The sequence below is a fragment of the Homo sapiens genome, chromosome 12 (assembly GCF_000001405.40).
Source record: "Homo sapiens chromosome 12, GRCh38.p14 Primary Assembly".
Lineage (NCBI taxonomy): Eukaryota > Metazoa > Chordata > Mammalia > Primates > Hominidae > Homo > Homo sapiens.
Genome location: NC_000012.12, coordinates 27,689,861 through 27,713,855, shown reverse-complemented (window position 1 = coordinate 27,713,855; position 23,995 = coordinate 27,689,861). Strand labels below are relative to the sequence as shown.

At 42.5% G+C, this 23,995-nt stretch overlaps 3 protein-coding genes, 1 long non-coding RNA gene and 1 pseudogene across 50 annotated transcripts in view, besides 4 other annotated features; 1 reads left to right on the top strand and 4 right to left on the bottom strand.

Annotated features, from left to right (window-relative positions):
• MRPS35 (mitochondrial ribosomal protein S35) overlaps nucleotides 1-3,024 on the bottom strand; it is a 45,464-nt gene extending 42,440 nt beyond the window's left edge. For all 3 annotated transcript variants that reach the window (NM_021821.4, NM_001190864.2, XM_017019780.2), the window contains exon 1: nucleotides 2,901-3,024. In NM_021821.4, the coding sequence (NP_068593.2) occupies nucleotides 2,901-3,012 (112 nt within the window). In that variant the 5' untranslated portion in view covers nucleotides 3,013-3,024. The remainder of the gene's footprint in view (nucleotides 1-2,900) is intronic.
• Nucleotides 2,604-3,393: an enhancer, noted in NCBI's record as "active region_6149". NCBI's record gives its function as "activates an Ori minimal core promoter by ATAC-STARR-seq in GM12878 lymphoblastoid cells {active_cell/tissue: GM12878}" and the evidence as "EXISTENCE:reporter gene assay evidence [ECO:0000049][PMID:35858748]".
• Nucleotides 3,109-23,020, top strand: MRPS35-DT (MRPS35 divergent transcript). Its single transcript, XR_001749448.2, has 5 exons — nucleotides 3,109-3,193; nucleotides 8,932-9,118; nucleotides 10,236-10,395; nucleotides 21,314-21,374; nucleotides 22,730-23,020. It is a non-coding gene; the product is annotated as an MRPS35 divergent transcript (long non-coding RNA).
• Nucleotides 3,404-3,483: an enhancer, noted in NCBI's record as "active region_6148". NCBI's record gives its function as "activates an Ori minimal core promoter by ATAC-STARR-seq in GM12878 lymphoblastoid cells {active_cell/tissue: GM12878}" and the evidence as "EXISTENCE:reporter gene assay evidence [ECO:0000049][PMID:35858748]".
• Nucleotides 3,514-3,593: an enhancer, noted in NCBI's record as "active region_6147". NCBI's record gives its function as "activates an Ori minimal core promoter by ATAC-STARR-seq in GM12878 lymphoblastoid cells {active_cell/tissue: GM12878}" and the evidence as "EXISTENCE:reporter gene assay evidence [ECO:0000049][PMID:35858748]".
• Nucleotides 8,357-8,868: an enhancer, noted in NCBI's record as "H3K4me1 hESC enhancer chr12:27857921-27858432 (GRCh37/hg19 assembly coordinates)". NCBI's record gives its function as "activates a minimal SCP1, AML or CMV promoter by ChIP-STARR-seq in primed H9 embryonic stem cells {active_cell/tissue: H9 hESC(primed)}" and the evidence as "EXISTENCE:reporter gene assay evidence [ECO:0000049][PMID:30033119]".
• On the bottom strand, nucleotides 10,950-11,518 carry HMGB1P49 (high mobility group box 1 pseudogene 49; annotated as a pseudogene).
• On the bottom strand, nucleotides 16,260-17,409 carry REP15 (RAB15 effector protein). The gene has a single exon (NM_001029874.3). The coding sequence runs from the start codon at nucleotides 17,291-17,293 to the stop codon at nucleotides 16,583-16,585; it is 711 nt and encodes a 236-aa protein (NP_001025045.3). The 5' UTR covers nucleotides 17,294-17,409; the 3' UTR covers nucleotides 16,260-16,582.
• The window catches only part of PPFIBP1 (PPFIB scaffold protein 1), a 171,359-nt gene continuing 165,655 nt past the window's right edge, over nucleotides 18,292-23,995 (bottom strand). For all 45 annotated transcript variants that reach the window (XM_017020056.3, XM_047429753.1, XM_047429758.1 and 42 more), the window contains 3 exons: nucleotides 21,928-22,107; nucleotides 21,200-21,265; nucleotides 18,292-21,060 (listed from right to left, as the gene is read on the bottom strand). In XM_017020056.3, the coding sequence (XP_016875545.1) occupies nucleotides 20,974-21,060; nucleotides 21,200-21,265; nucleotides 21,928-22,107 (333 nt within the window). In that variant the 3' untranslated portion in view covers nucleotides 18,292-20,973. The remainder of the gene's footprint in view (nucleotides 21,061-21,199; nucleotides 21,266-21,927; nucleotides 22,108-23,995) is intronic.

The window sequence follows — 23,995 nt, the reverse complement described above, 5'->3', positions numbered from 1 at the left end:
TCAGCCTCCCAAAGTGCTGGGATTACAGGGGTGAGTCACTGTGCCCAGCCATGATAGTTAACTTTGTGTCAATTTGACTGGATTGAGGAATACATAGACATGTGGTAAAGCATTATTTCTGGGCATGTCTGTGGGGATGTTTCCAGGAGAGACAGGCATTTGAGTCAGTGGACTGAGTGAGGAATACCTGCTCTCAATGTGGGTGGGCATCATCCAATCAGCTGAGGGCACAGAAAGAACAAAAAGGCAGATGAAAGAAGAATATATTCTCTCTCTCTCTCTTCTGGACCTGGGACACTCTTCCCCTGCCCTTGGACATCAGAACTCCAGGTGCTCCAGCCTTTGGACTCCAGGAACTTGTACACGCAGCCCCCTGAGTTCTTAGGCCTTCAGCCTTGGCCTGAAAATTACATGGCTTCTGTGGTTCTGAGGTTTCTGAACTTGGACTGACATGGGCTTCCAGCTTGCAGACAGCCTATTGTGGGGTGAGTCAATTCCCCTAAAAAATCCCATCATATGTCTATATATCTACATCTACATCTATCCTATCCTACATCTACGTTCTGTCTCTCTGGAAAACTCTAATCAGTTGGGGAAAATCTCCCTGAGAAAGTGAACTTTAAGCTAAAACCTGAAAGATGAGCAGGACGTAGCCATGAAGACAAGCAGGTGAGAAAAAGTGTTTTGACAGAGTGAGAGCACATGGAAAATCAAAGTGAACAAATTCAATATGGCTGAAATTTAAGAACAGAACAGAGAGAGACAGAGAGAAAAGAGGCTGAAGGCACTTAACAGGCGTCTTAACTATAATGCATCCTTAGCAGAACTTTTTTTCTTTTGAGATAGGGTCTCACTCCCGTCACCCAGGCCGGAGGGCAGTGGTGCGATTACGGCTCACTGTAATCGACTTCCCAGGCTCAGGTGATTCTCCCACTTCAGCCTCTGGAGTAGCTGGAACTACAGGCATGGGCCACCACGTCTGGCTAATTTCTTGTATTTTCAATAGAGACGAGGTTCCGCCATGTTGCCCAGGCTGGTCTCAAACTCCTGGGCTCAAGGGATCCGCAGGCCTCGACCTCCCACAGTGCTGGGATTACAGGAATGAGCCCCCACACTCAGCCCCTTGGCAGGGCTTTTGATTTTCTTCTTCCAGTCTTCCCAATTCGTGTACATGGAATCATCATTCATCCAATTGCTCAGAACAAAAATGTAACAGGATTTTTTTGAGACTTGTCCTCAAGCCCCACATCAAATCCATCAGTAAATCCTATGAACTTTACCTTCAAAATATATCGCAAATACAACCACACCTCCTTCTCCACTATTACTTTAATCCAAGTCACCATCACCTCATTTGGATTACTGCAACAGCCTCCAAACAGATCTTTGGCTTCCACTCTTACCCCAGTAAAGCAGCCAGTGATCTTTTAAAAACGTAAATCACATTATATCAGTTCCCTGTTCCAAGCCTTTCAATATAAAACCCAAGCCAAAAATCCAAATGAAATGTCTACAAACTCTTGAGAGATCAGATTATTACTTAACTAACTCTCTGACGTCTTATACTACCACTCTCTCCTCTACTCACACTTAGCTCCTGCCACATTGTCCTTCTTCCCGTTCCTTGATCACACCCCTCAGATTGTTCTCAACTTTTGGCCTTTGCACTTATAGTTCCCCATACCCCAAAGGCTCTTTCCCCATATCTCTGCATGGCTTGGGGCCCTGTTCAAATGTCACTTCCTCAGAAAGATCTTTCCTGACCATCCTGTGGCCACTACTCCCCCCAAATCCATCATTCTCAATACTCTACTTTATTTTTCTTCAAAGCATTAAACCCTATCTGACATCTTATTTAGTTGTTTGGTTGTTTATACTATTGACTTCCCCACCTTGCCGTATCTCCGGTGAGTGTCTAGAACACTGCATGGTATACAATAGGAGTTAAGTATTCCAAGAATTTAAGAATGAAAATTTAAAAATAGACAATTATTAGACCTATGAAGAGCCAGTATGAAGGATTAATGTATTTATAGTTTATCTGAAAACAATGGGAAACCATTTGTAGATCTTGAACATGAGAGCAGCAAGACAAGATCTAAATTTTGAAAACCTCATTTGGCTGTTTTGAGAATTCAATGTAGGAGAGCAAGAGGGGAAACAGGAAACGGAAAAAAAACTTGTAGAAATGAGATGGTCACCTGAACTAGATAGTTGGTAGTATGAGGAGAGTAAATTAGAGATATAACAGGAAGTAGCACAGGTAGGATCCGCCTATTGATTAGACTCACGCCAGCTCCTCCTCAACGCTCCCGTCATTCTAGCCACACTTCTATCACAGCGCCTCTCACCCTACATAGCACTTCTCCGCTAATAAATCTGTATTTTCCACTAGAGTCCTCCGGGGTAAGCACGCTATCAAGCATCCCTACAATCTCTGTTAAATGGAGGTCATCAACGCCTGTTGAATGAAGGCCGCCCATTTGGTGGCCTGGAATTCAGAGCAGCAATTTGTCCTAGCACAGCCGTATGACTCTCTTAATGTTTGGGGAAATCCATGGTTCAACAGCGCCGATGCCCGATAAACAACACAGCACCAGTAACCTGTGCCAGGGGCTGTGGACGGGGGCAACACAGGAGCAGGTCACGGGGAAGGGGGATGTAAGCTTTCTGAGCAAACTCCCAGAGCACCCAGGGCAGAAACAGGCGGCTAGAAGCCGGGCAACGCGGGTGCAGAGCACAGACCCACGTCCATGGTTTTCCTACCAGACGGGCCTGGCAGCGGACGCACTGGCCTCCCCCGGGCGGCGCTGGCTCAGCCACCGCGGCACCCTTCATGAGGCCGGTATTCCGCTCTTGCACCTCCCCCAAAGCCCAGAGAAGACGAGACAGACACTCACGCAGGCTAGGTGTCGGGACCGGAGTGGCCGAGTAGACGGCAGTGGAGAATGCACGCAGAGTCCTTGCCCTCGACTGCAGAGACAGCCATGCTGGGAGCGCGGCGGCCGCCATGGCTGCGAGGACGGCAAGCCGGAGGGGACAAGCGGCGTTCAGTGTCAGGGGCGGGCCTGGGGCCGCTAAGCGCAGGCTCCCTGGGCTGGCACCGCCCTAGGCTGGAGAAAGAGGAAACACGTTGGTCTGCGCACTCAGAGCCGAGTCAAATGTGCAGGAAGATTCCCCCAAACTGAAAGAAGTAATGAAAAGAAAACAAAAAAAATCCTTAAAAATCGAGTGAATCAGTTCGTAGAGAATTGCAGATAAAGACCGTAGGGATAGGGGTTGCGGCTCACTGAAGGCGGGCGTGCTCTGGGTGGAACCTCAGTTGATCCGAGAGTCAGGCGGTCTACCCGAGGGACTCTTGTTATTTATAATTGTTGCTTTTCTACATTTACTTGGATTAAAGAAGTCTTCAACTAATGCCAGTAATATGCGCTAAGGGGAGAGAAGCAGTATCCCGAGCCAGAGTGCTTGGGTTTCAAACTTGACTTCACCACTTCTGGGATGTATGATCTCAGACAAGTTAGCATAGACAAATATTTGTGTACAGCGTTGGCATACAGTGAACACCGCGTGTACGTAGCCTATAACTTTTAGCTATATATGGTTAGCTTGTTGTTAGATCAGCTTAGAATTACAGAAAGTCAGAACTCATCAGGACCTAGAAAATAAACTTTTAATGAACACTCTTAAATTTTCTACGGTAGGATGAATTAACATACAAGCCTTAATAAAACAATTCTCGGCCGGACGCGGTGGCTCGCGCCTGTAATCCCAGCACTTTGGGATCCCGAGGCGGGTGGATCACCTGAGGTCAGGAGTTTGGGACCAGCCTGACCAACATGGAGAAACCTGGTCTCTACTAAAAATACAAAATTAGCCGGGTGTGGTGGCACATGCCTGTAATCCCAGCTACTCGAGAGAAGAATCGCATGAACCCGGGAGGCAGAGGTTGCGATGAGCCGAGATCGCGCCATTGCACTCCAGCCTGGGCAATAAAAGCAAAACTCCGCCTCAAAAATAAAATAAAATAAAATAAATTCTCTATTTTCTCTTTATTTTAAAAATTATTTTAATTAATTAATTAATTATTATTATTTTTGAGACAGAGTCTTGCTCTGTTGCTAGGCTGGAATGTGGTAGCAGGACCATGGCCCACTGCAGCCTTGACCTCCCAGGCTCAAGTGATCCTCCTACCTCAGCCTTTCAAGTAGCTGAGGCTACAGGCACGCACCACCACACCCAGCTAATTAAAAAAAAAATTGTTTTTCCAGAGATGAGGTCTCACAGTGTTGCCAGGGCTGGTCTCAAACTCTTGGGTTCAAGCGATCCTCCTGCCTTGGCCTCCCAAAAAAGTGATAGGACTACAGGCGTGAGCTACTGCACCTGGCCTATTTTTTCTATTTTTAAGTTTTTTGTAGAGTTGGGGGTCTTGCTATGTTGTCCAGGCTGGTCCCAAACTCTTGGCTTCATGTGATCCTCCTGCCTTGGCCTCCCAAAATGTCGGGATTACAGGCATGGGTCTGGCCTATTTCCCTATTTTGTCTCAAAGTGACAAAATTATAACAGTAAAAACAACTAAAAATAAACAAAACCGATTCTTGGTAAGCATACAACCAGTAGAGCAGAGGTATGCAGGTGTCCAAGAATATTCTAGCTGTGAACATTCAGTGCGCCATGGACATCAATCAGTAAGGTATGGGAGGGGGACAAATAGCATGAGATGGACAAGTATTTGTAATATTCATCATCTTCATCTTTTCTGGACTTTTACCATCCTGTTATTGTTCCAAAATAGAAGCATGATGTATGAGTTTCCTAGGGGATTGGAACAAAGTACCGTAAACTGGGTGACTTAAAACAACAGAAATTTCCTCTCTCACAATCCTGGAGTCTGGAAAGTCCAAAATCCAGGTGTCGGCAGGGTTGGTTCCTTCTGGAGGTTCTGAGGGAGAATCTGTTCCATGCCTCCCTCCTAGCTTCTAATGGTTGCTGGCACTCCTTGGCTGGTAGACACATCACATCACATCACCTTCTGCCCCCATATTCCAATGGAGTTCTCTCCTCTCCTCGGACTATTTTTAAGATCAAAATCATGGCCTTTTTAATCAGATGGAGGTGAGGTTTGAATCCAGGCTCTGGTTCTTTATGATTTTGGGCAAATCTACCTTATCTTTCTGAGTTTCAGTTTCAAGGAAAATGACAGCAATAATATTTTTCTTACGACAGTCGTGATTAAAGGCATAAATATAAACGGTGGGCATTGGCATTAAGTGTAGGGTCAATGCAACAGCCTCCTTTTCTTGCAAGTTTGTATATTTTAGTAAAGTGCAAGTCCTATACCATAGAAATTTAGGGACAAAAGGAGTATGATCATATTCATACTGTTACCAGCGGCAAATCTGTACAGGTCTGCGGCAACCTCAATTCTTGCCTCCTCAGAAGAAAGAATTTGATCGAGGAACATAAGGCAGAAGGAGAGACAGAAGCGACTTTTAGAGCAGGAGTGAAAGTTTATTAAAAAGCTTCACAGCAGGAACAAAAGGAAGGAAATACACTGGGAAGAGGGCCAAGTGGGCGACTTGAAAGTCAAGTACCCCATTTGACCTTTGACTTAGGGTTTTATACGTTGGCATACTTCTGGGGTCTATGTCCCTTCTCCCCTGATTTTTCCCTTGGGGTGGGCTGTCTGCATGCACAGTGGCTTGCCAGGACTTGGGAGGGGAGCATGCATAGTGTGTTTATTGGAGTCGTATACATGCTTACTTGAGGCATTCTTCCATTAGCAGTTGCACGTCCCTAGAAGATCAAATACCAGTTAAATTCTGCCATTTTGCTTCTTAATGTGCACGCTTGCGCACACTCACCCAGCTCCTGAGATCTTACTGGAAAGTTGCTGATCACTAGTTTCAGGTTTTTTGTATCTATTGGGAGAATGCTATTCCCTGGTGCTGGCTGCAACCAATTATTGTTTTAGAAAGACAGTTAATAACCACCTGACCGTCACCTGATGGTCGCCTGAAATTCCTGGGGTGTGCGTGTGTGTGTGTGGAGGGGGGTGTGTGTATAAGGGGAGCCCTCTCCTGCCCTGCTCATTCATGACTAGCTACCTACTCTAACAATATTTCTTAATTTCTGAGCAAGATATTAAAGACATAGGTCCCCATTCTACCTTGCTATGCGTTCTATCTTTTGTTGTACTCTCTCCCTAAGACTAAAGTGGATAGATGACCAGAGCTAGAGGAGCCAGAAAAATACTTATTGTTTTCCGTGGCATCAAGTACAGTAAGTTTCATTCTATAGTAAAAGTTAAAAATTCATTCATAATGCTATTAATGCTATCAACAAGCAAAAATATCTGTCTTGTGCAGTGTAAAGAGTAAAGCATGTACTATCTTGCACATAGGGGTTACTAAGATTACATAATTTTTCACTTGGCAGTGATCTTAGAGGTGCAATCATTCACTCACGATAAAAATATTTTCTTTGCTGGGTGCAGTGGCTCACTCCTGTACTCTCAACATTTTGGGAGGCTGAGATAGGGGAATCACTTGAGCTCAGGAGTTTAAGCCCAGCCTGGGCAACATAGCAAGAGCCTGTCTCTACAAAAAATACAAAAATTAGCCAGGCATGGTGATGTGTGCCTGTAGTCCCAGCTACTGGGGAGGCTGAGGTGGGAGGATCACTTGAGCCCAGGAGGCAGAGGTTGCAGAAAGCCGAGATAGTGCCACTGCACTCCAGCCTGGGCGACAGAGTGAGACCTGTCTCAAACAAACAAAAAAAATATTTTCTTCAAACTTTGTGACCATGTAATCTAACACATCATAGAAGCTAGGCTGGCTTCATAGACATACAACGTGCCTGCGCTTGGCCTAATGCTTTGCTGTTGCTGTCTTAAAATTCTTAATACTTTTTTTAACAAGGAGTCCTGCATCTTCAGTTTGCACTGGAACCTACAAATTATGTAGCTGGTCCTGTGTAGAACAATTTTAAATATTAAGCTGTCTTACAATTGGTTTTTATTATATTTAAACCTGAATTAATTCAATAAAAGCTACTTTTTAATTTTTTATCTTTATGGATACATAGGAAGTATATATATTTATGGGGTATATGATATATATTGATACAGACATAAAATGTATCATAATCACATCAGGGTAAATGGGGTATCCATCACCTCAAGCGTTTATCCTTTGTATTAAAAAGCTACTTTTAATCAAAACTAACTTCTTTTTTTTTTTTTCTCTTTTTTGAGAAGGAGTCTTGCTCTGTCACCCAGGCTGGAGTGCAGTTGCACAATCTCAGCTCACTGCAACCTCCACCTCCGGGGTCCAAGTCGTTCTCCTGCCTCAGCCTCCCAAGTAGCTGAGATTACAGGCATGTGCCACCATGCCCAACTAATTTTTGTGTTTTTGGTAGAGACAGGGTTTCACCATGTTGGCCAGGCTGGTCTTGAACTCCTGACCTCAAGTGATCCGCCCGCCTCGGCCTCCCAAAGTGCTAGGATTATAGGCGGGAACCACCACACCCGGCCTTCAAAACTAACTTGCTTTATAGTAGGTGAACAAAGTATGTCTATTCACAAGTATGGTAGACAATATGCAAATATAAGGAATAGGTATAGAGACCTTGCAACCTAAATGTTCATCAAAACAGTATGGGTTAAATCTATTATGGTGTATTCATATAATGCAGAGTACTACTAATAGAGGCAGGTGGCAGAGAAATCCTAGGCAGACAGAGGTGGGTCTCCGGTGAAACCCGACCTTCAAGCCAAAAACAGTGTGAAGCCCATGGACCAGAGTGAGAACTTCTATTCCTGTTTGCCCACTCTCTCCCTATTGGTTCTTTCTGAATAATGTATTTTAACCAATCAAATGTTGCCTTTTCCAGTATTACCTACAGTCCACCCCACCGCCATCCTGTGCCTGTAAAGACCCCAGACTCAGTTGGTAGAGGTGGGAGATGGCCTGACTTCAGGGAAGAGACCTCCTGACCTCAGGGGAAGATGAACAGCCCTTCCCATCCCATCTCCAGCTCCCCTCTCGGCTGAGAGCTTTTTCATCGCTCAATAAAATTCTCTGCCCTCACTATCGTTCAATTATCAAGGGTGACCTAATTTTTCTTGGATGCTGGACAAGAGCTTGAGATCCAAGTGTGGGTACCCAGAAAGGCTGTCACACTGACCCTTTGCCCTGGTCAGCAGAGGACAGCCACCCCATGTGAGGGGGCCAGGGGCCAACCGGGCTGCTAACATGCTGCCATCCATCGGGCTGTGGATGGCAGAACTAAAAAAGCTCATCAGCACACTACCACCCCCTCTGGGGCTTTGGGGTCTCAGGCATCCTTGCCTGGGTGCCACTGCATTCCCCTCAAGGCGACACCACTGGTCTGGCTGCGGGCTCTGCACAAAGCTTTCTCCTGCGGTGGCGAAGTGGCAGGCTGGACCCTGGACTCACTCACTCATGTGCTCCCTCCCACAAGGGGCTGAGTGTGGTGGGCCTAGTAGACAGAGCGCCCCTGCTGGGAGTCCAGCAAAGGAGCCGAGAAAAATCCTGCATCACTACTTAAGATACCTGGGCCCCAATCCTGGTTAAACATTAGAATAACCTCAGAAGATTTAAAAAAAAAATTATCTGGACTCCCTCTGAGATGCTGATTAATTGGTCTAGATGTGTTTGGAGCACTAGGGTTTTGTTTTGTTTTTTGTTTAAGTTCTTCAAGTGAATCTAATATTGAGGCAAGATGGAAAACCACTGGTGTCAGCCTTAACAAGGATGAGGTGGATATAAATCTATTAGCATAGAAAATTGTCCACAATATATTGTTAAGTTTTTTTAAAATGCAGGTTATAAGGCATTTATGGATTATGTAATCTCATTTGTGTATTATATTTTTATTTTTATTTTTTTGCAATGCAAATTCTGGAAGGGTCAACAGCAAATTTGAGGCAGTGGATATGAGGATAGAGGAGACACTCCTGAAGACTTCACTTTCTCCATTTCTGTACTTGAATTTTTACACCAAGCATACAGCTTGAAAAAATTAAATGAGTATGCAGTATTTTAAAAATCAACAAAAGCTTCACATTTTAATTTTCACTTGAAAAAAAAACATGGTGAGTCTGATTTATGGCTTTCAGCTGTTTATAACATGAATACTTACAATTTATACTAGGTTCTCTGAAATTTTCGTAAGCTTACACTTCAGTATATAAAATATTTTCACAAGCTTTGTCTTCTTTGAGTTACGGTCATGTGCCACATAAAGACGTTTCAGTCAACCACTGTGCATATATGATGGTGGTCCCATAAGACTATAATGGAGCTGAAACACTCCTATTCCCTAGTGACATTGTGGCTATTGTGACATCATAGCACAATTACTTTATTGTTTTATAAATGTATCACAGCCTAAGTGAACAGTGTTTGTGAAGTCTACAGTAGCATACAGTAATGTCCTAGGCCTTCACATTCACTCACCACTCACTGATTCACCCAGAGCAACTTCCAGTCCTGCAAGCCCCATTTGTTGTAAGTGCCCCATATAAGTGTACTATGTTTTACCTTTTATACCTTATTTTTACTGTACCTTTTTTTGTGTTTAGATATGTTTAAATACACAAATATTTACCATTGTGTTCCAGTTGCCTACAGTATTGGTAAAGTAACATGCTGTACAGGCTTGTAGCCTAGGAGCTATGCCACATAGCCTAGGTGTGTAGTTGGCTGTACTGTCTAGGTCTGTGTAAGTACACTTTCTTATGTTCACAAAACAATGAAATTGCCTAACAATGCATTTCTCAGAACATATCCCCATTAAGCAATGCATGATTGTAGTTGAAGTCATTCCCATTTTACAAATAAGGAAGCAAAAAGTTAAGCCACTTGACTCTGCTCTTATGAGCATTGAAACTCAAATCCGCATCTGATTCCAAGTTGCATGTTCTTTACATCACCTCCTTCTTGAGAGTGTACTCCACACAGCATTCCTGCAGACAGGGGTCGCTATACACCGAGGAAACATTAATTGACTGAGGACTATAACCTCCCAGAAGCATTGAACATGGGAACCGTTATTACTTAACACTTTAAAAGATGCCACCTGGGCTTATTCATGCCCAGTTTACTGAAGGCAAAGGGCTAAAATGCTTTTTTAATTTAAAAAATTGTATTTGCTTAGAAGTATTCAGAATGTCAACAAAACAGCTGCAACTTCTTTTTTTTCAATTACAGAGTGGTACTCAGCAGAACAACAACTATATCGTATAAGCTGCATCAGAGACAAATGAAGATGAAAAAACTATCCTCCTATATAACTAATCTGTGCTGTGCCCCAACAAAGCCTGCTTTAAATTTCCGTGCCAATTACAACCCCCATTCTGTATCAGGCAAGGTTAGTGTCTATTAAAAATATCACCAGGACAGGGCTATCTTAAGAGACATTTTGTAATCTGTTAATTGTACAAAAAGACACTGTAATGTTTTTTGTTTGTTTCTGTTTTTGTTTTGTTTTGTTGTTGTTGTTGTTTTGAGATGGAGTCTCGCTCTGCCGCCCAGGCTGGAGTGCGGTGGCGCAATCTTGGCTCACTGCAAGCTCTGCCTCCCGGGTTCATGCCATTCTCCTGCCTCAGCCTCCCAAGTAGCTGGGACTACAGGCACCCGCCACCATGCCTGGCTAATTTTTTTGTATTTTTAGTAGAGACGGGGTTTCACCGTGTTAGCCAGGATGGTCTCGATCTCTTGACCTCATGATCCACCCACCTTGGCCTCCCAAAGTCCTGGGATTACAGGTGTGAGCCACCGCGCCCAGCTGACACTGTAATGCTTAAAAACAAATCTTACACAGCCTTACATTTCAATTTTTTTTTCTTTAAAAGGAGTGAGTTGTATACAGGGGTTGTTAAATTCTTTATAGACAAGAGAAAGACTGCTACAACCAACTCGTTTATCATCATCTTCTTCTTCTCCTTCCTCCTCATCCTCCTCTTCTTTTTTTCTTTTTTTTTCAGCCTTGGCAATTCCCTTTGTTGCTGCATGAGGCTTTCCTTTAGCTCAGTCTGCTACAATATCCTTTTCATATTTGTCCTTCAGCTTCGCAGCCTTCTTTTCATAAGGCTGCTTGTCATCTGCAACAGTGTCATTCCACCTCTCTCCCAGTTTCTTTGCAAAATCACCAATGTATAGGCCGGGATATTTTCCTTTGACTCAGGGGCAATACTCAGAACACAAGAAAAAAGCCAAAGGAGGCCTCTTGGGCTTTTTTTTTTTTTTTGCCTCTCTTTCTGGAGGGATATAGGTTTTCATTTCTCTTTCATAATGGGTCTTTTGCCTGAGTTTGCCAAGTCTTCAAATTTTCCTTTATAGCAGACCCGGTCCTTTACCTCTCTGGCACTTTTTGGAACAATCTGAGAAGAGGACAGAAGCATCTGGGTGCTGTTTCTTGTGCTCCTTCTGACAAGTATGCATAAAGAATGCGTATAATGACATTTTTGCCTCTTGGGATCTCCTTTGCCCATGTTGAGTTACTTTTTCCTCAGTGAGGCACCCAGTCATGCAGTGCCCACCTGGCAATCACATACCCTGGCACTGTTTCTCTAAAATGCTTTTCTCCATCTTCTGATTTCTTTGGATAAAGGAAAGTCAAAGACAAATTTATTTCTGTCCTTGCATATATTCTTATTATTCAAGACATTTGGAAATACAGCATCTAATTGTTACATGTTTCAAACCCCACATCCAATCATCAGCAAATGCTGTACACTTTACTTTCAACTACATTCTAAATCTGACCTCTTCATACCTCCTCTTGTACGAGTGTGGTCCAGGCCACCTTTTTCTCTCATCTGGGTGACTACAGCTTCCTAGCTGCTTACCTGGGTTCTGCTTCTCTTCTTTTTCTTCTACCATCAAGTCTCCCCCCAGTAATCAAGTGAGGGTTTGTTTGTTTATTTGAGACAGAGTCTTGCTCTGTCACCCAGGCTGGAGTGCAGAGGCACGATCTCGGCTCACTGCAACCTCCGCCTCCTGGGTTCAAGCGATTCTCCTGCCTCAGTCTCCTGAGTAGCTGAAATTACAAGCATGTGCCATCATGCCAGGCTAATTTTTATGTTTTTAGTAGAGACGGGGTTTCACCATGTTGGCCAGGCTGGTCTTGAATTCCTGGCCTCAAGTGATTCACCCACCTTGGCCTCCCAAAGTGCTGGGATTACAGGTGTGAGCCACCATGCCTGGCTTCAAGTGAGGCTTTTAACGTACAGGTCAGTCAAGACATTTCTCTCCCCCATCACTCAGAATAGTTGAGTCCTTACTTCAGCTTACAAGTTTGACCAGCTTGATGAGTTTGCTGGCTACTTCTGCAAACTCATCTCCCACCTCTCGCCTCCAGCTCACTCTGCTCCGTCCACGTCAGCCTCCTTTGCTATCCACATTCACATCTACTCCCATTCCAGGTCCTTTGCATTTGCAGTTCTTTGTGCCTAGAACACCCTTTCCCAAATGTCTGCACTGATGCTCAGTGTCTTCCTTCAGATTTCTAGCTAATTGCCCCCTCCTCGCTGAGGCCTTCCTTCACCACCCAATATAAAATAGCACCTCCTAACATTCTTTATTCCCTGATCATGCTTTTTCTTTACATTACTCATGATGTAATTTAAAATTGATTATTGTTTGAGACAGGGTCTCACTGTTGCCCAGGCTGGAGTGCAGTGGCTGGTTCTGGGCTCACTGTAACCTCCTCCTCCTGGGCTCAAGCGATCTTCCCACCTCAGCCTCCCAAGTAGCTGGGACTACAGGCACACACCACCACACCAGGCTAATTTTTGTATTTTTAGTAGAGACAGGGTTTCATCATGTTGTCCAGGCTGGTTCCAAATTCCTGAACTCAAGTGATCCGCCGGCCTCAGCCTCCCAAAGTGCTGGGATTACTACAGGCGTGAGATGTTTTGAAAATATGCATTTAAACATCTGCACGTGTTTGTCTGTCTTCCACCATTAAGATATAAACTCCCTGAGACTAGGAACTTTGTTCTTTGTACTGCTAGATTGGCAGGGCACAGAACAAGCCCGACATGTAATAGGCACTCAGCAATTATGTTTGAATGAATCTATCTTCCATTTACACTTTTAAGCCTTTTTTTTTTTTTTGGCAATATATTAACCCAAATTGCAAAAGCTAAGCTTGACTCTATGCTATTGGAGACTTCACTACCAAAAAGAAGAAACAGATGTCTCTGCCAATACTCACCTTCTTTTAAAAAAGTCCTTTTTAATTGACAAGTAATTGTGTATATCAATACTCCATTTTATTAAACACTCTTTCATGCCAGCTTCTAATGAAGGACAACTACAAGGCCACAGATATGTTCTTCCTATTCCAGGTTCCTCAAGGAGAGGGCTATGGGGGTGAATAAACATTGACGGGAGGGAAAACAAAGCCATTTCTTGAGGCTGAAGAGAATATACATCCCTTTCTTCTTTCCTGAAGCTGCAGGCATCATGGGGATTATGAATGCTCCTTTCCTCGCTTTCCCCCAGGACTTCTTTGGGAGATAAAGTTGAAGAGAAGGGATTTGGGGGTTGGTGTTCCCCAATGTTGCAAGGCGTATTTTAATTTGAAGAACACCAGGCTCAATGGAAAGAAAACAGGGCATGCACTTAAGCCTAAATCTAGATTGAAGTTAATGACGCGCCTTTAGATTCACTGTGGATCCTGTTTACTGGGCTGGATAAAGAATCAAAGAGTGGATCTGGATTATCGTACTAAGCACTTTTGATTTTTTTTTCTTTTTTCTTTTTTTTTTTTTTTGAGACGGAGTCTCTCTTTGTCACCCAGGCTGGAGTGCAGTGGCGCCATCTTAGCTCACTCCAACCTCCACTTCCCGGGTTCAAGTGATTCTCCTGCCTCAGCCTCCTGAGTAGCTGGGATTACAGGCATGTGCCACGGCTAATTTTTGTGTTTTTAGTAGAGATGGGGTTTCACCATGTTGGTCAGGTTAGTCTTGAACTCCTGACCTCGTGATCTGCCTGCCTCAGCCTCCCAAAGTGCCGGGATTACAGGTGTGAGCCACCGCGCTTGGCTATTCTTAATTCTATAACGAATAGCAGTTCTACGAGGTGGGTATTGTCATCTCCGGTTTTTAGATAGGAAAATCAGGAGGCATTAGGGCTACAGAAGAAATCAAATGGCACCCTCAAGTCTACCTAAGGAAAAAGTACATCTACAGGGTGGGGGCAGGGTGCAAGGAACTAACAAAGAATGATGAAGCACCCCGGAAGGGACAATGGCCTGAGAGGGGAAGGGGAGGGAGCTGGAGTCTCAGAGAAGGGCCAGCTGGACAGGAGCTGTCTGGAACCAAGCATCGTAGTGAGGCAGGGAAAGTTGGGCTAATACATTCCAGACCTGTCCCCTTTCTGATCTCGTGCTCTCCACTGGATGGAAGCCAGAGTGATGCAGTTAGAGCCCAGAAGAAGGCAGACAAGGTGGGGAGTAGATGTGGAGGTTGAAATGAGAATAACCAGCACAGAGGTTTGGTTGGATACGTGTAAATAAAAGAGCTGGGATTTTAAGCAGGTTTGTCCTCAACTAAACTCGAAAGCTCTCACTCCTTCTACCATGACAAAGTTTTTACGACTCTGCATTGTGGCCTATTGCTGGTCATGATATCAATTTGGTGGCTTGCAGTCAGCATTTTACAAACCGATGTAGGACAAACTATCAGAGTGCACTGCAACATGCTTCAGTTATACAGATCACAGCAACAAATGTATTTCTTACTATGGAATACCTGCATGACGCCACATTGCGCTCATATGTCTTAATTCAGCCTCACAGGAACATGCCCTAAATTCCAAAATACAGAAAAGGCCAAGGCCATAAGAAGACTGTCAGAAACAGAAACGATTTTAAGAGGTTGGATGCAGTTGAAAGGATTCAGCCCATGTTTCTAATGGCTGCGTATCAGTGAACAGGTGGTTCAACAACAGGAAAAGTAGCCACAGATTAAGGCCAGGAAATGGAGGAAAAATGAGCAACAGTAACCAGCTAGCATTTTTGCAGGTGAACACCTTTGTTGTCTCAGCAATTCCAGTAGTTTAAAATCAGAGAATTTTCTTTTTATGTATTTATTGAGATGGGGTCTTGCTCTGTTGCCTAGGCTGGAGGGCAGTGGCACGATCACGACTCACTGCAACCTTGACCTCCCGGACCCAAGCAGTCCCCCTACCTCAGCCTCCCAAGTAGCTGGGACTACAGGCACACATCACCATGACTTTTTGTATTTTTTGTAGAGATGGGGTTTCACCATGTTGTCCAGGCTGGTCTTGAATTCCTGGGCTCAAGCAATCCTCCTGCCTCAGACTCCCAAAGTGTTGGGATCACAGCTACTCTTCCTGGCCAAAGAATTTTCTTTTCTTCTTCTTTTTTTTTTAATTGATTTTTACTTAACCTAATTTATAGGCTTACAGGGAATTTTCTTTACACGACTGTAGAATATGGGCTTTGTAACTGGGCAGACTTTACTTTTTTGTTACAAGCCACTTAATAGATTTATGAGTTATCTAGCCTCTTTGATTTGGCAAATAGAAACCTCTTAGAGTCATGGAAGACACATGCAAATCACGCTAATATATGTAAAGCATCTGACTTGACTTACAAGTGCAATAAATAATGGTGATTCCTTTTTGTACTGTTATAATTCCACACTGGCTTTTAAGTAAAAATGGTTATTATATGTGAATACACCTTCCTTACTGCAAAGGCTAAACAAGTATTATTAAAAGGAATAGTTTTATAGGTCACTGTTTTTAAATCATAGGCAGAGCTAACACTAAAGTGAATCTCAAAGTAAATCCCATCAAAGTCCTCTCAGTGCAGAGACAGCAGCTAGGGAGAAGACAGAATAAGGTAAGTGTTAGAGGAAAAGAACGCTGTGAGTTTTGTGCAGGAGTCCTGAACCCAAACTATTTTTTTTTTTTTAAAGATGAGGATTCACTCTGTTGCCCAGGCTAGAGCACAGTGGTGCAATCACAGCTCACTGTAGCCTTAAACTCCTGGGCTCAAGCGATCCTCCCACCTCAGCCTACTGAGTAGCTGAGACCATAGGCATAAGCCACTGTGCCTGGCTTGAAACTGGCATTACAAATGTAATTAAACCTGCTCTGTAGCCTTACCCACTACTTTATCCTACCCATCTCCCACCAACAGATGCAAAAACACATTTTATACTTTTGAGTGCTAGACTTATTATTTCAAACAGACACTTTTTTTTTGCAAATCAAACTTTAAATGTGACTTTATTATCTCTCTTCCATTTTTATTATTGAATAAGTGAATGAAATATTAAACTAAATTATAACTTTTCCTGAACTGTTTTTAAATCATAGGCAGAGCCAGGGTTTTCTTTTTTTCTCTCTCTCTCTGTAATTGCGACATGAATGTACTTTGATCCCAGTAATCATTTTCAATCAATGGGAAAACAAATGAAAAAAAATCCCATGCTGGAATGATGCAAATAGGTGAGCTTGCTTATTAGAATCTTTTTTTCTTTTCCTCTTACAGGCCACTCACATAATACATATCCAAGTCAGAGAATGCTGATATAAACCTTGCCCACCTCTCTCAGCCCGTCTTTCTTACTCAGACAATTTCTGAGCAGCTCTTTGATGAACACACAATCTTCAGTTTCCAGGACAAACTGAGCCACAGCCTTCCCTCCTGGCAGATGGCTCCTCACCATCTGACTTTTGACACTGTCCAGGACAACTCCCCTGATGTCTTTAGGCTTTCCTGGCATACCAAAGATGATAAACAGACCCAGGCAATCCTCTCCTATTAAGTTACAGAATTCTTCCAGCTTATCAAATCTACTTTTCTTCCAGGAAGACTCCTCTACCCTTGATTCTGGATTGGAAAGGTCACAAGGCTTAGATTCCACAGGAGGAGGTGAAGACATCTGCAGAGTCTGTACTGCGAGCTGAAGCTTTATTTGCTTGTTGGATCCCCAAAAGGTCCAAATCCAGTCTGCACCAAACAGGAAGGCTTGGTGCTTGGTCATCTTGGTGGTGGTCAGCCACTCATCAACTCCCTTTTCTTGGCAGAAAGTGATGAAATGGATTAAGAAGATCTCATTCAGAGTATTTGCAGCTGGGCAGAGTTTACTTGGAGGATATTCAAATCCAAGGTACTCCTTCAGTTTCTGAGCTGCATGGACTATAGCTTCACTGACCACCTCACAGACGACGGGCACCTCTTTGCTGTCCTTCAGAGCCAACTGTTGCGATGCTTTCTGCCCCATTTTCTCTGCATCCAAATATCAAACATGTGAATCTGGTTCAGACGTACTTCTTTTTCAAAGTAAAAGTTCTGCAGGGAGGCCACATCTGTTAATGGTTCATGTTTTTCTAACTCTACAGCTTCCTCGGGTGTAGTTAAGCATATATACATACAGCTAAATAAACATGTTAGTTCTCTCTGTTTGTCAGTTGGGTGTGTTGTGTTCATACAGTTCCTGCTGGTTTATTAAGTTAAAGATACTAAATTTCACACAAAACATCTGTTCTATCTAGGTTATATTCACTCTACTTTTAATCTTTGGTAATCTCTTCCAACATGTTTCCTCTTTCCAAGTTTTAGTTGAAGTAAAAATAGCACGTTAGTTCTTTTTGTTTTTGTTTTTTGAGACAGGGTCTCACTCTGCTACCCAGGCTGGAGTGCAGTGGCGCAATCATGGCTCACTGCAGCTTCAACCTCCCTGGGCTCAGGTGATCTCACCTCAGCCTCTTGAGTAGCTGGGGCTACAAGTGTATACCACCACACCTGGCTAATTTTTGTGTATTTTTTGTAGAGGTGGGGTTTCACCATGTTGTCCTGGCTGGTCTCAATCTCCTAGGCTCAAGCAATCCTCCCGCCTCGGCCTCCCAAAGTGCTGGGATTATAGGCATGAGCCACTGCACCCAGCCCTATGTTAGTTTTTTAAATATCCATACACCTCTTTCTACAACTAACTTCTTCCAATCTCTAGGTGAGTCATTTCCATTTGCTTTTCCTATTTTCTTTTTTTGTTTGTTTTTGTTTCTTTTACCTTCTGCCATGATTCTTCATTCCCCAGCTCAGTTGCTTCTTTTCCTACAAAAGCTTCTCAAACAAAGGCCTCAAATTCCTATCTGTTGATACACATTATAAACTCCATTCGAACAAATTTATGGCAGTTTATAAAGAGATTGTGTTATTTTCTATGTCAGAAACAAAGCCTGTTACTATGAACAACGGAAAATGAAATAAGGGCAATAAAAATGAGGCAATTATCAATTGACTTTATTTCCTTTCATATGGTAACACCAGCAGTGTATGATATTTGTAAATAAAATACGTCATAAAAAAATTTAACCTTATTACCTATTATCAGTTAGGTTATACCATCCTGAATAAAAAATATTTGGGCCGGGCATGGTGGCTCACGCCTGTAATCCCAGCACTTTGGGAGACCGAGGGGGGCGATTCACGAGGTCAGGAGATTGAGACCTTCCTGGCTAACACGGTGAAACCCCGTCTCTACTAAAAATACAAAAACAAAATTAGCCAGGCGTGGTGGCAGGTACCTGTAGTCCCAGCTGCTTGGGAAGCTGAGGTGGGAGAATGGCGTGAACCCAGGAGGCGGAGCTTGCAGTGAGCTGAGATTGTGCCACTGCACTCCAGCCTGGGCAACAGAGCAAGACTCCGTCTCAAAAAAAAAAAAAATGGCGTCTGTAACAGTTTCCTGGTATTTTCAACCAGGTTCTAAGAACAAATTGATTTTTTGAAGTGGTGACATCTAGTCACATTAAAATAAAATCCAAATAAAGTAAGTTCAATACAGTTACCACATAATGAATGGTAGAGTTTAAAGAAAATTATTATTAGCATCAAATCAATTGTTATGAATAAATAGTAATTTGATATTACAAGTTCTTTAATGAATACCTTGGTAACTTGCTGACAACTTAAAAGATAATACCACTGATATTCAAATACAGTTTATAATCAAGTCCAGTGGCAGATACTGAACCGCCCACCTCCACCTCAATTTGTGAAAACCTGTCTTTTGTAGGGTTGGCTACCATGGGTAATTACGCAGCACTGAATAAAAAATAGAATATTTTTCTAATACTTCTACAAATATAATAAACACAGTAACAGTTTTTGCTGCAGCGATTTTCTTTACAAAGAATATTTGGGCCCAGTGCTACAGAAAAACATGAACTACATCTTATCGTCACAAAATAGCCATTATAAAATGAATTTTGCAGCCTCTGTTTTTTTGAACTTTGAAATAAAATGTTCAGACAAATATTCAACTTTTTAAAAACCTCCATTCATTGATAGCCTGAGAAATGTACAATGAACATGTTTAGGCAGACTGCTAGTATTTTGCTGTAATGACACAGTTAACAAAGAGAAAAGAAACAATACTGTAAAGGTTTCTGCTTTGCTTTTGGCTTCCTCAAAAACTATTTCTACAAATTTTGGGGAGAGGAGGTGATTCTGAATGTATTCAAGTTAGTGGTAGGCCAGGCAGAGTGGCTCACACCTGTAATTCCAGCACTTTGAAAGGCTGAGGTGGGAGGATCACTTGAGGACAGGAGTTTGAGACCAGGCTGGACAACATGGTGAGACCCTGTTTCTACAAAAAAACTTTTTGAAAAATCAGCCAGGTGTGAAGGGTGGGGTGGGGTGGGAGGCCACACACCTGTAATCCTAGCTATTAGGGAAGCTGAGGTGAGAGGATCACTGGAGCCTAGGAATTCAAGGCTGCAGTGAGCTATGATCACGCCACTGCACTCCAGCATGGGCAACAGAATGAGACTCTGTCACTAAAAAAAAACAATAATAATAAAAAAATAACAGGCTGGGCGTGGTGGCTCATGCCTATAATCCCAGTACTTTGGGAGGCTGAGGCGGGCAGATCACAAGGTCAGGAGTTCGAGTCCCAGCCTGGCCAATATGGTGAAACCCTGTCTCTACTAAAAATGCAAAAATTAGCCAGGCATGGTGGTGCATGCCTGGAGTCCCACCTACTTGGGGCTGAAGCAGAATGGCTTGACCCAGGAGGTGGAGGTTGCAGTGAGCCAAGATCATGCCATGGCACTCCAACCTGGGTGACAGAGCAAGACTCCATCTTAAAAAAAAGTATACTAATGTCCCTCAAGTTCTTCCATATGAGGTAAAGGGATCCAAGATTAAGGTTGAAATTCTTAAACTGTTCAACAATTTTGTGGTGTCATCAAAAAGGAATATTTCATATATATTAATTTAGCCTCAATGATCAACATTGTTAAAAGTCAGTATGGAGAAAGATCATTCTGACCTCTTCAGAAACCAGCTGGTATATGAACATTCTGATCACCAGATTGTTTTGAAAACGTGATCTTTTCACCATCGTCCTTAGGTCACAAAATAAAAGTTCTATTTTCTATGTACTGTATATATACATATATTTAGAAAAATATATAAAAATAAGACAATAAGAGGCAAGTGGAGGTGTGGCTGGCATTTAGTGGGCACACTGAATGCTTAAAGAAGTTCCACATATTGATTCTGAAATCATATAATGTCCTACTTAGGTGGCTACAGTGAACACTGATGTAACAAAATCATTCACATCCTGGTTACTGTTCCTCAAATCCTCCATACCGCGGATATGAATGGAAACACTCTGGTAAAATACTCATCTTAAATGCAACACTTTAAATATAATATATCACAGATTTTTACATTAAATAGAAGAAAAACAATTATACTCTCATTCACCAGTGTCTTATTTTTTGTGGCAACTTCAGAATCGGCACATTACTCCTGCTTTCTGTTTAAACTTCTCGACAGCAGAAGTTGGAACAACAAACAATAGACAATCCGCTGCCTGTTGTATATACTGTGAGTGTTTGGAAAAGCAAGTAGAAAAAAGACTAAGCACTCCTAATGTTCATCCAGGTGCTACGGTCAAACGTTTGAGTCTTCATCTGTAATGCTGGCACTGGGGGAACGGGCAGCAAAATCTTTAAACATGTCATCTTCTTTTAACATGTGCTGGAAAACAAGGAGACAGGGAGTCACACTGAGAGCCAAGAGCTCAGAGCTACACATTCTCCAAGAGACATGTGGTCCTTTGGGGTTGTTATAAAAGACATTTATAGAATAACATTTTCAATTCATTTCACAAACTCACCGTCAGATTGTTGATGCCTTCAGAGAATGCACCTATCTGTCTCACTGTCCCTTCTGAATCTTCCATCTGCAAATAACAAACCATAACATGACATAAGTGTTTTCACAATTTCAGGGAAAGTGCAGCAGGAGGAACAAAAGTCTAAGAAGAAATAATGCAAATAGCACTGAATGGGGTAAGAGCAACAGAACACTTCTGGTGATAATCTCCTTTCACCACTGCAACTGGAAGTGAAAAATTAGAAGAGACACTTTACTGACACAGCTAGTCTAATGCCTTTGCTAATAGTAGCAAAGCATTGTTGATTAGAGGGGAAATATGCGGTCCCACGACTTTAATCTGAAAAGGCTAGGTAGAATAACCTGTCCATTCCTAACATGTTTTAATACAGAGATGGCAAAATATTGGTAAATATGACAGGCTTTGGAGCCAAAGAGACAGGTTGGGGACCTTGGGCAAGTTACTTAGCTCTCTGTGCCTCAGTTTCCTTATCTCCAAAATGAGAATAACAATGCTCTCCATGTCTTAAGGTTACCATAAACATAGTATGCATTAAGTGCTTAGGATGGTACCTGGAAGATATAAGTGATCTCTAAGTGTTCACTATTATTATCTGTATTTTTAGTTATTTGAAGAAAATGTCCTTGATCAGACACAGTATACAAAGTTCCCATTTAGTGTCTGAATGATGGAAGAACTCGCAAAAAGTTATACAGTGTTGGATTTACCTGCTCTAACCGGTCCAAATCATCTTCCTCATACAGGCGCATATCCAAACCAGGTTTAAATCCTTTCTTAGATGCACTTCCTGATGCCTGTCCCAATTCCATTGGACAAACATATTCTTCACCATCTTCCTGTTTCTTCTTTCTCAAATTCCCAAAATTGCTAAAGGCAAGTTTCTTTGGCTTTAAAAGAAAAGCAAACAAAAACATCCAAAGGATTTGATAAAATTCATATAATCAAGGCCTGATAACATGTGATTTTTTTTTGCGTTGCCCCCTCCCTCCTATATGTATAATTTAATTATTTACCCCATGGTAGAGAGAAAAGTAGCTGGATGTTTAAATATGGATAAAAACAAAAGGGCATCCTAGGCATATAAATGATGCAATGATAAATGACCCTTGTTATGAATCTCAGGAAATTAACCTTATTCTTCTTATTCACGCCAAATAGCTGAATAGTCACCGTGATAAACAAAATATGGCAAGAATAATTTGATTACATCATTACTATTATTTTTAGAGACAGAATCTTGCTATGTTGCCCAGGCTGGCCTCAAACTCCTGGGCTCAAGGGATCCTCCTGCCTCAGCCTCTGGAGTAGCTGAAACTACAGGCACAAGCCACTGCACCTGGCTTCATAGTTTTGATTAGACAGGACTTAATGCAATGAGATTTCTCACAGCTGAATCCAATTTTGCAAGGTTTTTCAATCTAAGATTAGCAAAATAGAATAGACTTCACTATATTTTTTCTTTGGGTGAGGCTATAATTATCTTGTATGCCTATTCTGCTTCCATAACAGGACTGGTGACTGCTAAAAGAATTTTTTGGAGAGGAAACATCAGTGATACTTAGAAGAGAAACTCCATGATGGTCACTGGGTTGGTCACTGGATACTCAGGCAGATAGAGGGGGTAAAAAAAAATTAAAAAGAACTTTGGCACAAATTTCTGGAGGACCCAGTAACCCATCAAGTTGGTTGGGATAACATATTTAGAAGAGTTAATCTAGGATTAATTTTAAAGAAGAAAAAGTAATCTGAATTTGGTATGATCCATAAATCCAGGTAAACTAGGAAATACCCATTCTCTTCTGGCCCACCTTCAATCATTTTTAAAGTGTATTTTCCTATTTACGAGGCTGGTCAATCATAAGCCAGAGAAGCTAAATCTGTACAAGAGAAACCTCTCTTCTGTACTTGATTTATAAAAACAGAACAACTGCAATCAATATTTGGACCCAAGTTATGGGCTGTCTGCATTGCCAATACATGGATTATGGAAGCCAATATTATGCTGTTCATTATTATTTTTTTAGAGGCAGAATCTTGCTCTGTTGTCCAGGCTGGAGTGCAGTAGCATGCTCATAGCTCAATCAGAGCTCATTGCAGCCTTGAACTACTGGACTCAGGTGATCCTCCTGCCTTGGCCTCCCAATGCACTGGGACTACAGGCATGAGCCACCATGCCCACCTAAGAGGGAACACCCAAAAAGGGACATGAACCTTGGACCCTCAGATTAAAAGTCTGATGCTCTACTGACTGAGCTATCTGGGTGCATTCTCTTAATTATTATACTTTTAAAAGATATATACTCAGTTGTCCCTCAGTATACACAGAGCATTAGTTCCAAGACCCCCATGTATACCAAAATCCGTACATACTCAAGTCCAGCAGTACCCGTGTACCTAAAAAGTTGGGCCTCCCTATATGTGGGGTTTGCATCCCTCCACATTTGCTTGAAAAAAAAAAATCCGAGTAGGAGTGGACCTGTGTAATTCAAACTCATGTTCTTCAAGGGTCAACTGTTCCTTCAACTTGTTAGAGTGGGCAGATAGCTAGACATGAGGGGAAGCCCCTGAGAAAAGAGAGGTCTGGAAAATCTCGCACCCCAGAAACCACCCAAAACATGCATGCTCCATTTGAGCAGAGAGGAGGGGAAATACCTATGCAGAAAGGAACGCCCCTTAAGACGCCCAGTAATCACTCACTCTGCAGATCACCTGCCAGAATGTAGCTAGCTGCATGCTGATAAAGAGGGGAAGAAGGTAAAGGAGAATTCCTAAGAG

What these genes read in the sequence shown, in the direction of transcription:
- REP15 (NM_001029874.3), bottom strand. Translation starts at nt 17,293, where the DNA reads ATGGGGCAGAAAGCATCGCAACAGTTGGCTCTGAAGGACAGCAAAGAG.